Consider the following 15161-nt stretch of genomic DNA (forward strand, 5'->3'; position numbering starts at 1 on the left):
AACACACTCACCCCTTCCTTCATGCTCTGATCCTGTTGCTCCATGCTTGCTCTGGAAGGGCAGAGTGCCGCTCACCTCCTTTTAGCCAAAGTAACGCGTGCACTGAATGGAGAGAGAAGACATTCTGGGTGCACTTTGGCCATGCCAAATAACAGCCAATAGCATTTTTATAGCCAGATTAAGTCAGAATAACCCTTTCAGGAACCTGGTCTTCCTTTCACTTCTGCTTTTAAATGAAACGTCTGGGGTTTGGCTAAGTAAGTGGGTGCCCCCTGGGGACTGCAGGCCCAGCATTGTCCTGATGGAACAGTCTACGGTATTTCCCCATTGCTAAAGTCTCTACCAGTCAGGCTCATGGTGAATGACTGGAAGGGTTATTTCTGTCAGGAACGCATGGCAAACAACAGCTGTCCTCCACCCTACATGACACCAGGTAATCTGAGGGCAACAGATTGGGCCACTAGAGACCTCAAAGATGCTCTCCCTGCCAGGAAAACTACAGTCAAGTGTCTCTTGGTGGAGAGTCAGTTTTGCCCAAGTCACCGTGTAATACTGTTTGGGGAAAGTTTCTCATTTTCTGTTTTTTTTTTTTTTTTTTTTTTTTTTTGAGACGGAGTTTCGCTCTTGTCCCAGGCTGGAGTGCAGTGGCATGATCTCAGCTCACTACAACCTCCGCCTCCCGAGTTCAAGCGATTCTCCTGCTTCCACCTCCTGAGTAGCTGGGATTACAGGCGTGCACTACCACGCTCGGCTAATTTTTATATTTTTAGTAGACACGGGGTTTTGCCATGTTGGCCAGGCTGGTCTCGAACTCCTGACCTCAAGTGATCCACCCTCCTTGGCCTCCCAAAGTGCTGGGATTACAGGCGTGAGCCATCGTGTCCGGCCTCTTATTTTCCATTTTAAGGAGCTCAGAATGACCTAGGGATGTTACTTTCTGTGTATTCATCACTACTGGGAAGGTGGTAAATACCTCGAACCCCTTTCCAGGCAGGGCAGGGAAAATGAGTCACACCTGCTGGTCCGGGTCCGGCCATCTCAAGGCCAGGCCACTGTCAGCCCCCCATGTTTGGCACTCATTCAGCTGCCACAGGGCACACCAGCGCAAGTGGCCAAAATCCAAAGTCTCACAAGTCCCACAGGTTTTCATCTTTACAGAACATACTCCCAGTTCTATTTGCTGTGGCGTAAATCCAGTTACTTTAGTGATTGATTCTGAATCTCATGCATCTTTAAACAAGCAGAGACTGGGAGCCTGTGTTAGGCACTGTTCCTTGCATTAGCAGCAAATCCCCAGGGTTGCTCAGGGTGGGAGACTGTGAGAAGCCTAGCAGCGTGGCCGTCTGTGTGTGTGTGTGTGTTGGGGGGTCGGGGGGGTCCCTATTCACAAGGGAGAACTCAGCATTCCCTTTCACCAGCTACTGCCTGTCTTTTTCTTCTGCGTATCACTGTCCTAGCACACTGACTTGTGACTAACGCATAGCAAGACCAGAGGTTTCCAATTATTTCAAAGATCTAGAAAAAGTTTCCAAAGAAAATGCACTTTAATTGCAGGGGTAGGGTGGGGAGAGGAAATCAACGATGGGGGAGTGAGGAGACGGGTACAGGTGTGCAATCCAACACAAAGAAGAATCCGGCCGGGCGCGGTGGCTCACGCCTGTAATCCCAGCACCTGGGGAAGCCAAGGTGGGTGGATCACCTGAGGTCAGGAGTTCGAGACCAGTCTGACCAACATGGTGAAACCCTGTCTTTACCGAAAATACAAAAATTAGCCAGGCATGGTGGCAGACGCCTGTAATCCCAGCTACTTGGGAGGCTGAGGCAGGAGAATAGCTGGAACCCGGGAGGCGGAGGTTGCAGCGCACCTAGATCACACCACTGCACTCCAGCCTGGGCGACAGAGCGAGACTCATCTCCGTCCCCCATCCTCCCCCCAAAAATAATCGTCCAAAGTTTGTAGTCATCAGTCATGTCAAGTGCATGACACCTGCTTCTATCTAGGCCCAGATCTTCCACTTCTCCCTGCCTTTGGGCGAGGGGGTAACTAAAACCGGGGGTCGCTGGGGGGGACGCGGACACTCCCAGTCCCCGCCTTGACGGCCCAGCCCGGGGAAGCGGGGACAGTGAGCCAGGCCCTCAGGCCCAGAGGGGATCATCCCGGGAGCTGCGGGCCGCAGTACCCGGTTCCTGCCAGTGACAGGGCGTCGCAAGCACAGCCATGGCGTCACCAACGCTCGACCCGTGCTTCCGCCCTGGAGGGAGCCGAGCGCGGGGACGGGGGCGTGGCGGGAGGCCGTCATGACGCCAGGCTGCGGGCCGCTCAGCCAGTCCCTCTGCCTGGCGGGCCTGCGGGCTCCGGGTGGGTCCTGTCCCTGCCCAGGACCCCTCTGCCTCAGCCCGGATCCCCCTCGGCCTCTGCCTCAGCCCGGGTCCCCCTCGGCCTCTGCCTCAGCCCGGGTCCCCCTCAGCCTCGGTCCCCCTCTGCCTCAGCCCAGATCCCCCCCAGCCTCAGCCCGGGTTCCCCTCCGCCTTTGCCCGAGTCCCCCTCAGCCTCACCCGGGTCCCCTTCAGCTTCTGCCAGAGTCCCCCTCAGCCTCGCCCGGGTCCTGCTTCTGGCCAGGGACCCCCCAACCTTCGTGGCGGGCGGACCAGCCTCCAGGCCCCTGCCTCAGGCCGCCATGAGGCCGAGGCCTGCAGGCTCCGCGAGCAGGGCGGGGTGGGAGACTGTGAGAAGCCTAGTGGCTCAAAGATGGAGGAGGGGGATGGCAGCGGTGAGGTGGGACTGGGGGGAGGGGAGTGGTCCTGGCAAACCTGAGGCAAGAGGATCGCTTGAGCCCAGGAATTCGATCATGCCACTGCACTCCAGCCTAGGTGACAGAGCAAGACCCTGTCCCTAGAAATAAAAAAAATTAAAAATTAAAGTTCCATCTGGATGTCCAGAGGTGAACTGATGAGGGGACAAGAGACCGCTGGATTTGGAAGTGGGGAGAAGGAGCAGTGGAAGGTCTTTGCCGTAGCCCAGGTGAAAGAACAATGTGACTTGGACCAGCATGGGGATGGAGAAGACAGAAGTAGATACACTTGAGGGATATTTAGGATGGAAAATTGACAATCACTTGGTGATAGGATGGGGGAGAGGAAATAGGAGCGTTTCTGTTACTGTTATAATAAAACACAACTAGGCCAGGCGTGGTAGCCTGTAAACCCAGCACTTTGGGAGGCTGGGGCAAGTGGATCACTTGAGGTCAGAAGTTCGAGACCAGCCTGGCCAACATGGTGAAACCCCGTTTCTACTAAAAATGCCAAAAAAAAAAAAAAAATTAGCCGGTCGTGGTGGTGTGCGCCTGTAATTCCAACTACTTGGGAGGCTGAAGTAGGAGAATCGCTTGAACCCAAGAGGCGGAAGTTGCAGTGAGCTGAGATCGCACTACTACACTTCAGCCTGGGTGACAGAGCGAGACTCTTGTCTCCAAAAAAAAAAAGTAAAACAGAAATAAAAGTTACTTTTCTGAATCAGAATGAAAAGCAAATGTTTTATATAAGAAAAATTTAACCAGGGCAAAATATTGGGTTAACACCATACCACAAAGCAAGCTGGCACATCTCCGGGCTGTTCTGTGACCAGACAATGATACCAGGACTTCAGTCACTACTGGCCTCACCTCTGCTAGGAATGTTCTAGAATTTTAAAGTTTTGCCACGGGCCTCTTTTGTACAGGCTGCTAATGGCTTCTCCTCCCCATCCATAAATCCATTTGGTCAGTGCCTCTTCTGTAGTAATAGAATTGGGAACAAGACCTGCGGCTGCCCAAAATAAAGACATTTCCCCATTGCTCTTGCAGTCAGTACAGACATAAAGTTCCGCTTAATGCAGTGTATGCAAGATGCCATATGGCAGGCAGCTTCCAGAAACTTTGCTCTCTTAGCTTTGCCTATTTCTCCATCCTGCTTCCTGGAATGTAGATGCCACCAGCTTGGGCCTTGAGATTGAAGCCCCACAGGACAGAGCACCAAGCTAGGAGGAGCTGGGGCCCCTTACCCTGTGGAGCACCATCCCAGCTCCCCACCACCAACTTGACTTAGTAGGGAAGAAAAATACTTCATTTTGTTTTCTGTCACTTGCAGCTGAAACCGTTTCTCACTGGTAGAACTATTAAATGGATGCCTGAAAATCTGTTAGGACAGAAAACAGGAAGATATTCTACCAAAGCCCCTGGTGGTGCAAATGGTGGAGTCTCTTCTGCCTCACTCAGTACATGCTTCTGTACTGTGAGTTAGTTAGTTCATTTGCAGATGGTAAACAAGAGAATGCTGGCCGGGCGCGGTGGCTCACGCCTGTAATCCCAGCACTTTGGGAGGCCAAGGCAGGCGGATTACAGGAATTCAAGACCAGACTGGCCAACATGGTGAAACCCGGTCTCTATTAAAAATACAAGAATTAGCCAGGCTTGGTGGCGGGAGCCCGTAACCCCACCTACTCAGGAGGCTAAGGCGGGAGAATCGCTTGAACCCAGGTAGTGGAGGTTGCAGTGGGCTGAGATCAAACCACTGCACTTCAGCCTGGGTGACAGCGCAAAACTCCATCTCCAAAAATTAAAAAAAAAAAAATACGTCAGTAGAATGCAGAAATTGTGTTTGTGTTCTTAGCAGCATGTTCATATAATAGTTTGAGGTGGTGGTGGAGCGGAGGGGGGCAAGCATTCTCTCAATGAAAGAGCAAGGCTTAGCAACTGTAAACCAAAAAGTATCTGAGACAGGTCTCAATCAATTTAGAAGTCTATTTTGCCAAGGTTAAGGACATGCCCAGAAGAAAAAAGCAGAATCTCAGAAATAGTCTGTGGTCTGTGCCTTTCTCCAAAGATGATTTTGAGGGCGTCGATATTTAAAGAAAAGCTGGCTGGAGGGGAAAGAGGGAGAGTATGGTAACCTACATGTTACAAGAGAAAAGGTACAAGTAGAGGAATCAGCAATTACATGTCTGTCTCTTGCTCAGTAAATCAGCACTTTACATAAAGTGAGGTGAACACAGAGTAGCTACTTGTGGGGATACTTAACCTTTTATCTGTCGCTGTCTGCTTAGGAACATAAGGAAAGACAGCTCCTTGCATGACTCAGCTTTCAGCTTAATTTTGTTTTTCCTTTTTGGCAGAGTGAATTGGGGTCCTGAGTTTTTTATTTTCCTTTACACAACATATGAAGACCTTAAAGAGAAAACGCTGAAAATTCTGCAGGGCTCTGGGCTGGTTTTGTGATTTCAAGAAGCGCTTTCTCCTGTAATCCCAGCATTTTGGGAGGCTGAGGCAGGAGGATCGCTTGAGCCCAGGAGTTCGAGACCAGCCTGGGCAACACAGTGAGACCTTATCTCTACAAATAATCAAAAATTATCTGGGTGTGGTGGTGTGCACCTATAGTCCCAGCTACTTGAGAGGCTGAGGCAGAAGAATTGCTTGAGCCAGGAACTTCAGGCTGCAGTGAGATGTGACTGAGCCACAGAACTCGGCTTGAGCAACAGAGTGAGATCCCATCTCAAAAAACAAAACAAAAAAAAAAAGAAGTGCTTTCCAAGCTTTCTGTGGAGTCCTAATTAGGGAAAAGGAGTCAGGTTGGCAGCACCAGGGGAAAGCAAAAGAGAAAGCAAATAAGCTATAAATCTGCCTCTCTTCATGGTCCACAACAGATAAACAAAGAGGAAGCAGATGAGTTATAGGTCTGTCTGTGTTTATGTCCCAGGAAGTGTAGCCCTCCTGAGCAAATAACACACATAACTCACAGACTTCCCGTTTCACATCAAACACCTCAATTTATCAAACATCCCGGTTGACAGAAGAAGGCAGGTTAGCTCCTGCAGCCGTGGCGTAATCCAACATCCCAAGAGCCATCCTATAAAATCTCCAGCAAGCCTGTTTCCTTGCAGTCCGCTCCTCTTCTGCTGATACCGCCCGTTGCCTCCTTGCAACATATTTTCCTACTTTCTCTAATAAATCTATCTTTCTCTACCTACAACTGTCTTGGTAAATTCTTTTACTCCCGTGCCACTGGCCCAGACAGTTGTCACTCCCCTGTGACCCTTTCAATAATCTTAAACTAAATGGTGGAGTTAGCAGGACAGTTGAAGATATTTTCATATGTAATTTGTTTGTTTTAATTGATTATAGCCTGCATTGGATTTTCAATTTTTTTTTTTTGAGACGAAGTCTCACTCTTGTCCCCCAGGCTGGAGTGCAATGGCATGATCTCAACTCACTGTAACCTCGGCCTCCCAAGTTCAAGTGATTCTCCTGCCTCAACCTCCCAAGTAGTTGGGATTACAGGCACCTGCCACCATGCCCAGCTAATTTTTGTATTTTTAGTAGAAACGGGGTTTCACCATGTTGGTCAAGCTGGTCTCGAACTCCTGACCTGAGGTGATCCACCCACCTCGGCCTCCCAAAGTGCTGGGATTACAGGCGTGAGCCACCGCGCCCGGCATTTTTTTTTTTTTGAGACGGAGTCTCACAGTGTTGCCCAGGCTGGGGTGCAGTGGCACAATCTCAGCTCACTGCAACCTCCACCTCCCAGATTCAAGCGATTCTCTTGCCTCAGCCTCCCGAGTAACTGGAATTACAGACGCACGCCACTACGCCTGGCTAATTTTTGTATTTTTAGTAGAGGCGGGGTTTCGCCATGTTGGCCAGGCTGTTCTAGAACTCCTGACCTCAAATGATCTGACCGCCTCGGCCTCCCAAAGTGCTGGGATTACAGGCGTGAGCCACTGCACCTGGCCGGATTTTCAATTTTGATGAAACAGCTCTACTAGGAGTGAAAGGCCCAAAGACCCTAATCTGAGAAGAGAAAGCAGAAGTTCCCCCAGGCGATGGAGATCTGCCCTAGCTGCTGTGCTTATCAAGACTGCATTTATACTTGTTTGTGTTCAGATTGTAAAACCGCATAGGATTCAAGTGGTCCTTGCCAGTCATTTCTCCCCTTAAGCCCTGTTATTTTGATGTGCCACTTGGCAGAATGTCATGTTCTTTAGGAACAGGTATATCACATGATAGCAGAAATGCCTATATGTGCCTTTGATGCACAAAACGGGGTTGCTATCAAGGTGGTGTCTATATTTGGCTTGCTTGATTGATGGGGAGAGGAAATGGCTCTTGGCCACACCCATTTATTAATCTAAAGGAAAAAACTGAGGTGAAATCCATACAAGTAGAGAGTTTATTTGGGCCAAGTTTGAGGACTGCAACCCAGGAGCATAGATTCAAGTTGCCCTGAATTTATGTTCCTATCAGCAATAGTTACAAGTGTGGTGTTTTTTTTGTTTTTTTTTTTGAGATGCAGTCTCACTCTTGTTGCCCAGACTGGAATGCAGTGGCGTGATCTCGGCTCACTGCAACCTCCGTCTCCCGGGTTCAAGCGATTCTTCTGCCTCAGCCTCCCTAGTAGCTGGGATTACAGGCGCCTGCCACCACGCATGGCTAATTTTGTATTTTTAGTAGAGATAGGGTTTCACCATGTTGGCCAGGCTGGTCTCGAACTCCTGACCTCGTGATCCGCTCGCCTCAGCCTCCCAAAGTGCTGGGATTATAGGCATGAGCCACCATGCCAAGCCTTACAAGTGGGTTTTTAAAAGAAAAAAGGAAGGCTGGACATGGTGGCCCATGCCTATAATCCCAGCACTTTGGGAGGCTGAGGCAGGCAGATCGCTTGAGCTCAGGAGTTCAAGACTAGTCTGGCCAAAATGGTAAGATACCGTCTCTACAAAAATACAAAAATTAGCCAGGCATGGTGCTGCATGCCTGTAGTCCCAGCCACTTGGGAGGCTAGAGTGGAAGGATTGCTTGAGCCTGGGAGGTGGAGGTTGCAGTGAACTGAGATAGCGCCACTGCACTCCTGCCTGGGCAACAGAGTCAAAACCTGTCTCAAAAAAAAAAAAAGCAAAAAAAAAAGAACACAAAAAAACAAAAAAAAAACCCCCAGAAAAGTCTGGACGCAGTGGCTCACGCCTGTAATCCCAGCACTTTGGGAGGCTGAGGCAGGTGGATCGCCTGAGGTCAGGAGTTCAAGACCAGCCTGGCCAACATAGTGAAACCCCATCTCCACTAAAAATACAAAAAAAAAAAGAAAAAAATTAGCTGGGCTTGGTGGCAGGCACCTGTAATTCCAGCTACTCGGGAGGCTGAGGCGGGAGAATCATTTGAACCTGGTTGCAGTGAGCCGAGATCATTCCATTGCACTCCAGCCTGGGCAACAAGGGTGAAACAGGGAGAGAGGGAGGGAGGGAGAGAGGGAGGGAGGGAGGGAAAGAAGGGGAAGAAGGAAGGAAGGAAGGAAGGACAGGAGGGAGGGAGGGGCAATGGGAGTGTTGGTCCTGATCCAGACCCCAAGAGAAGGTTCTTGGACTTTGTGTGAGAAAGAATTCAGGGTGAGTCCATAGAGTAAGGTGAAAGCAAGTTTATTAAGAAAGTAAAGAAATAAAAAAAAGGCTACTCCACAGGCAGAGCAGTGGCCTGGGCTGCTCAACTGATTATATTTATAATTAGTTCTTGTTCTTTGCTAAACAAGGGGAGGATTATCCACTAGTTTTCTGGGAAAGGGGTGGACAGTTCCCCGGAGCTGAGGGCTCCTCCCGCTTTTAGGCCATATAGGGTAACTTCCTGAGGTTGCCATGGCATTTGTAAATTGTCATGGCACTGGTGGGAATGTCTCTTAGCATGCTAATGTATTATAATTAGCATATAATGACAGTGAGGACAACCAGAGGTCACTTCCATCACCATCTTGGTTTCGGTGGGTTTTTGTGGCTTCTTTACCACATCCTTTCATCAGCAAGGTTTTTGTGACCTTGTGCTGACTTCTTATTTCATCCTGTGACTAAGAATGCCTAAACCTCCTGGGAATGCAGCCCAGTAGGTCTCAGCCTCACTTTACTCGGTCCCTATTCAAGATGGAGTCGCTCTGGTTCCAATGCCTCTGACAGGAGGCGGGAAAGGGAGAGAAGACTTTGTATTGGGTACAGTGTACAGCGCTTGGGTGATGGGTGCACCCAAATCCCAGAAATTACCACTAACGAATTTATCCATGTAACCAAGAACCACTTGTATCCCCAAAAACTATTGAAAAACATTTCATTTAAAGAAGAGACAGTTCTTTACCAAGAATTTACATCAAAACCATGTAAACTGTAGATCCACACTACATTGTTCTTTGTACCATGAATTCCAAAACCCTGAAGAAAATGGGTGAGGCAGCTATCAGGAACAAAGTGTCGTCAAATAGCTGCCCTGGACATGGGTGGGGAAGTGACTCAAGTTCCCACTCACGTCTCTCTGGGCCTAATAAATTTTGCGAACCTCACAGGGCTCACACTGCTCAGCTGTTTTTCTTTTCCCACATTCCAGATTTAGATAAGGAAGGAATCATTAACAGATTCAGAGTGGACCTGACCACCCCACAGTGCCCTTGCTTTGCTTTTGGCACAGGCAGTGTATCTCGTCTGGGGAAGGGAGAGGAGTGCATCCAGTCGGTTGACACAGGACCTCCCAACCCCAGTGCCCACGCGCGGTGTCTCCCTCTTCCTCTTCTGTGAAAAGCCACACCCCACCTTGGGCATGCCACCTGGCCGCCGGAACCCAAGTCTGCAGGGAGGGTCCAGAAAACGTGCGCCTTCCAAGTTTATCTTCCTTCAGGAGCCAGTTCTGTATTCTGTCCTCACTTGAGCTCCCTTCCAAGCTCCTACTAGATGTCCCCGAGGCAGAGAGATTGTTGATCACGCTCTGATATGCCTGGGGTGTAAACTTCAGAGACATGACAAGGTGCCTATGTGTTTTCTCACCAAGAACAGAATTTGACCTCGCCTATCAGAGAGTGCACGTGCACAGGAAGGGCGTGCTCCTGGAGAAGCACAGGCAGAAGACGTGAAAGCCGGAGCAGCAGAGGCTCTTCAGGACCCAAGGGGCTTCTGTCGGTTACACATTACCCTGGATAGACACTCCTCTTTTTATTTTTGATTTATTTCTTTATTTTGTTGAGACAGAGTCTCATTCTGTCACCCAGGCTGGAGTACAGTGGCGTGATCTTGGCTCCCTGCAACATTTGCCTCCTAGGCTCAAGTGATTCTCCTGCCTCAGCCTCCCAAATAGCTGGGATTACAGACGTGAGCCACCATGCTTAGCTAATTTTTTGAATTTTTAGTAGAGACGGGGTTTCACCATGTTGGCCAGGCTGATCTCAAACTCCCGACCTCAGGTGATCTGCCCACCTTGGCCTCCCAAAGTGCTGGGATTACAGGCGTGAGCCACCACGCCCAGCCGATATCCCTCTTTTTAAAAACATCATAACATAAAACTTATCATTTTAACTGTACATTTTTAAATAAATGTACCAGTTGAGTTGTGGTAAGTATATTCACATTGTTATGAAACAGATCTCCAGAACCTTTTCATCTTGCAAAACTGAAACTCCGTCCCCATTAAACAACTACTCCCCATTTTCCCTCCCCAAAGTCCCTGGCAACCACCATTCTACTTTTCTGCTTCTACGAATTTGGGCACTCACAATACCTCATGTAAGTAGGATCATGCAGTATTTGCTTTTTTGTAACTGATTTCCGAAGACTTAGAGCATGTCTTCATGAGTCCTTCATGCTGTAACATGGAACAAGATTGCCTTGCTCTCTGAGGCTGGATCATACTCCACTGTGCACACACCACATCTGGTTTACCCATTTATCTGTCAGGTTACTTGGGTTGCTTCTATTAATACCTTTGGCAATTGTGAGAAATGCAGCTATGCGCATGGGTGTACAAGTATCTCGCTGAGCCCCCGTTTTCAATTATTTTGGATATATACCCAGAAGTGGGATCACTGGATCACATGATAATTCTATTTTTAATTTTTTTTAGGAATTACCGTTCTGTTTTCCACAGTAGCTACGCCATTTTACGTTCTCACCAACAGTATATAAGAGTTTCAATTTCTCCACATCCTCACCAGCACTTGTTATTTTCTGGGCTGTGGTTGCTGTTATCGTTGTTTTTGGTAGTAGCCATCCTAACAGGTGTGAGGTGAGCTCTCATTGTGGTTTTGATTTGCATTTCCCTAATGATGAGTGACGTTGAGCATCTTTTCACATTCGTGTTGGCCGTCTGTACATCTTTGGAGAAATGTCTATTCAAGTTCTTTCCTAATGAGACCACTCTCTTTGACCACAGAAAATGAGACCAGGCAGGCCATAAATAATATCCAGTGATGTGCAGGAGCCAGCTTATATATAATGTGAAAACAAATAATTCAAAATCAAAGCTGTTGGAAACTGGAATTATTTTGAGTCTTAAAGGAATGTGCTTATGGGACCTTTAATCCCTCTCGCCTGGGGCGATAGGTGTGAGTCACTCCGCCTGGCCTTGAATAAACTCCTTTAAACTGGATTCTGATCCTTTCAATTATTTCAGGTTGCCAATAACCTCATCAAAATGAAAAAGTGGTGGGTGAGGTTGCTCACGCCTGCAAACTCAGCACCTCAGAGGCTGAGGTAGGCAAATCACTCGAGCTCAGGAGTTAAGACTGGCCTGGACAATGTGGTGAAACATCATCTCTACAAAAAATACTAAAAACAAATAAACAAACAAAAAAAATTAGCTGAGGGTGGTGGCACATGCCCTTGTTCCCAGCTACTCAAGAGGCTGAGGTGGGAGGATCACTTGAGCCTGACTGGTCAGGGCTGGAGTGAGCTGTGATCATACCACTGCACTCCAGGCCGGGAAACAGCATGAGACCTTGTTTCAGAAAAAAAAAAAAAAAAAACCCCAAAAAAAAAAAACACGACCAAAACAAAACCCACACTTTTGTGCCTCAAAAGACATTATCAAGAAAGTAAAAAGATGAGCTGGGTACAGTGGCATGTGCCTATATTCCCAGCGACTTGGGAAGCTGAGGCAGGAGAGATCAGGAGTTCAAGTCCAGCCTGGGCAATGGAGGTAGACTCCTTCTCTTAAAAAAAAAAAAAAAAAAAAAGTAAAAAGACAAGAGACTAGAAGAAAAATTTTTGCAAATCGTATATCTTATAAGGGTCTGGTATCCAGAATATATAAAGAACTCTTACAACTCAACAACAAAAGACAAACAACCAAATTCAAAATGCGCAAAACACTTGAATAGATTATTTTCTCCAAAGAAGATATGCAAATGACCAAGAAGCACATGAAAAGATACTTGGCATCATTACTCACTAGAGAAATGCAAATCAAAAACAAAATGAGGTATCACTTCACACATTAGGATGGCTATCATACTTAAAAAAAAAGGGAAATTAACTAGTGTTGGTGGTCAGGTGAGGTGGCTCACATCTATAATTCCAGCACTTTGGGGAGCTGAGGTGGGTGGATCGTTTTAGCCCAGGAGTTCAAGACCAGCCTGAACAACATGGCAAAACCCCACCTCTACTAAAAATACAAAAATTAGTCAGGTGTGTTGGTGCACACCTGTAATCCCAGCTACTTGGGAGGCCAAGGCACGAGAATTGCTTGAACCCAGGAGGTGGAGGTTGCAGTGAGCTGAGATTGCACCACTGCACCCCAGCCTGGGAGACAGAGCAAGACTCTGTCTCAAAAAAAATAAAATAAAACGAATGTTGTTTAGAATGTGGAGAAATTAGAACACTTGTACCTTGCCGATGGGAATGTAAAATGGTTCAGCTACTGAGGAAAAAACAGTTTGGTGGTTCCTCAAAAAGTTAAACATAGAATTACCATATGACCTAGCAATTCTACTCCTGGATATATACCCAAAAAGAATGAAAAACATGTACTCAAGCGAATACATGTACACATATGTTCGTAGCAGCAGTATTTACATAGCCAAAAGGGGGAAACAGCCAAAATGTCCATCAGTGGATGAACAGATAGGCAAATTGTGGCACATACACAATGGAATACTATACAGCTATAAGAAGAAATGAGCCAGGCACAGGGGTGCATGCCTGTAGTCCCAGCTCCCCAGGAGGCTGAGGTCGGAGGATTGCTTGAGTCCCAGAGTTCAAGTCTAGCCTTGGCAACATAGGGAGACCCTGTCTCTAAAAAAAAAACAGAAGTACTCATACGTGCTACATGAGCTTCAAAAACATGCTGAGTGAAAGAAGCCAGACAGAAAAAGGTTGCATATTGTACAATTCCATTTATGTGAAAGATACAGAATAGATAAATCCATAGAGAATGCAGATTGATGGTCTGGGGAAAGGCTCCTATGTTTTTGAACCTGCCCAGTTGTGGGTGCAATCTTGCACCAGGCAGCCCAACCCTGACCTAAAGTAAATTCCCAGAAGTCTTTCCTGGGTTTTGAATTTGCAGTAACAGCTGTGGGCATTCTAGCAGCAGTTCGATGATCATGTATGGTACTGCAAACAGGACAAAAAAAAAAAAAAATGCAGATTGGTGGCTGCCAGGGGCTGGGGGCAGGGGGAATGAGCAGTGACAGCTAATAGGCACCTTTTCCTTTTGGGGTGAAGAAATAGATGAAGTTATTCATTAATTGTGCAACCCTGTGAATGCTGCCAAATTGTTCACTTTCAAATTGTTGATTTCATGTTATGTAAATTTCACCCCAATAAAAAAAAGAAATCAATACTAGCCTGGGTAACACCGCAAGACTCTGTCTCAAAAAAATTGTTTTAAAGACAACTACTTTGCTGGGACATCATTTATCTACAACTTACAGAACTGTAAGCTCAAAGGCAACGCAAGGGCAGGGCCCTGCTGATTCGGGAAGAGTATGCTTGAAGCAATGCAATTTTCCACGAAAGTGCACATTTTTCTCCACAGTGGTTTGAAATCAGCCATGGTGAAAATGAGACAGGAATAATACAGGGTGGTCGCAGGAGAATAGAAAATTCCAGGCAGCAGTTTTGCATGACTAGCAAAAGGAAACTGTTGAAATAGCTGCAGAAGTAGGGGCCCTGAAAAACAGGATGTGGGCCAAGCTGGCTAAGGCCGACTGGAATCAACATAGCGCTGGATTTGACCTAGGTTTCACGTAGGACCTCATTATGTGCTCATTAACATACTAAACCCTGCGGGGTTCGGTGGCTCATGCCTGTAATCCCAGCACTTTGGGAGGTTGAGGTGGGCAGATCACCCGAGGTCAGGAGTTCAAGACCGGCCTGGCCAAAATGGTGAAACCCCATCTCTGCTAATAATACAAAAAAATTAGCAGGGCATGGTGGCACATGCCTGTAATCCCAGCTACTCGGGAGGCTGAGGCAGAAGAATCACTTGAACCCAGGAGGTGGAGGTTGCAGTGAGCCGAGATTGCACCATTGCACTCCAGCCTGGGCAACAAGAGTGAAACTCCATATCAAAACAAAGAAACAAACAAACAACACATACTAAACCCGGCCAGGCACGGTGGCTCACGCCTGTAATCCCAGCACTTTGGGAGGCCGAGGCGGGCGGATCACGAGGTCAGGAGATCGAGACCATCCTGGCTAACACGGTGAAACCCCGTCTCTACTAAAAATACAAAAAATTAGCCGGGCAAGGTGGCGGGCGCCTGTAGTCCCAGCTACGCGGGAGGCTGAGGCAGGAGCATGGCGTGAACCTGGGAGGCGGAGATTGCAGTGAGCCGAGATAGCGCCACTGCACTCCAGCCTGGGCGACAGCGAGACTCCGTCTCAAAAAAAAAAAAATAATAATAATACTAAACCCACATCCACCAGTGCCATGACAGTTCCTGGGACATCCATATTTGGCATAAAAACAGGTAACACCACAATTTTGAGAAACCCTCACCTTTTTCCAGGAATCTTCATAAATATCCCACCCCTTGGTTAAAGAAACCCATAAAGGTGGAAGCTCCCAACCCTGCTGGGTGCAACTCTCTCTTGAGTAGGCCCGAACTCTCCTTTCTTGAGTGTGTACCTTTTGCTTTGCAATAAATCTCTGTACTTTCACTATTTTCTGACTTGTCCTTGAATTCCTTCTGGCAAAGGTGTCAAAAGCCTGGACACTGCCTGCGGTTAAGGTCCCACTGGCGTTTGGGGACCTCCTCTAGCCCACTGGCATCAGAAACATTACACAAATCAGCTCACACTATAAATCAGCCCCGGGCCCACCATCCCAGCCTGTTGAACATGTTCCAGCACATCACGGACTCTGGTACTACATCAGGCACCAGATCCAGATAAC

General features: G+C 47.7%; 1 protein-coding gene and 1 non-coding gene across 16 annotated transcripts in view, besides 1 other annotated feature; one reads left to right on the forward strand and one right to left on the reverse strand.

Annotated features, from left to right (window-relative positions):
* The window catches only part of SLC2A5 (solute carrier family 2 member 5), a 59090-nt gene that overhangs the window by 34387 nt on the left and 9542 nt on the right, over positions 1-15161 (reverse strand). For 6 of the 15 annotated variants that reach the window (XM_047428615.1, XM_047428614.1, XM_047428606.1 and 3 more), the window contains exon 3: positions 12-102. The exons of 1 other annotated variant lie outside the window; for it this stretch is intronic. In XM_047428615.1, the coding sequence (XP_047284571.1) occupies positions 12-44 (33 nt within the window). In that variant the 5' untranslated portion in view covers positions 45-102. Of the gene's footprint in view, positions 1-11; positions 144-2180; positions 2237-2556; positions 2768-2811; positions 2894-3583; positions 3665-15161 lie in introns of those variants that run through there. 8 more of the 15 variants (NM_001328621.2, NM_001328620.2, NM_003039.3 and 5 more) reach the window with 5 other exon arrangements.
* Positions 6800-6889: an enhancer, noted in NCBI's record as "active region_113". NCBI's record gives its function as "activates an Ori minimal core promoter by ATAC-STARR-seq in GM12878 lymphoblastoid cells {active_cell/tissue: GM12878}" and the evidence as "EXISTENCE:reporter gene assay evidence [ECO:0000049][PMID:35858748]".
* LOC124900441 (small Cajal body-specific RNA 16) lies at positions 13204-13387 on the forward strand. Its single transcript, XR_007067398.1, has one exon.

Source organism: Homo sapiens, chromosome 1 (assembly GCF_000001405.40).
Source record: "Homo sapiens chromosome 1, GRCh38.p14 Primary Assembly".
Lineage (NCBI taxonomy): Eukaryota > Metazoa > Chordata > Mammalia > Primates > Hominidae > Homo > Homo sapiens.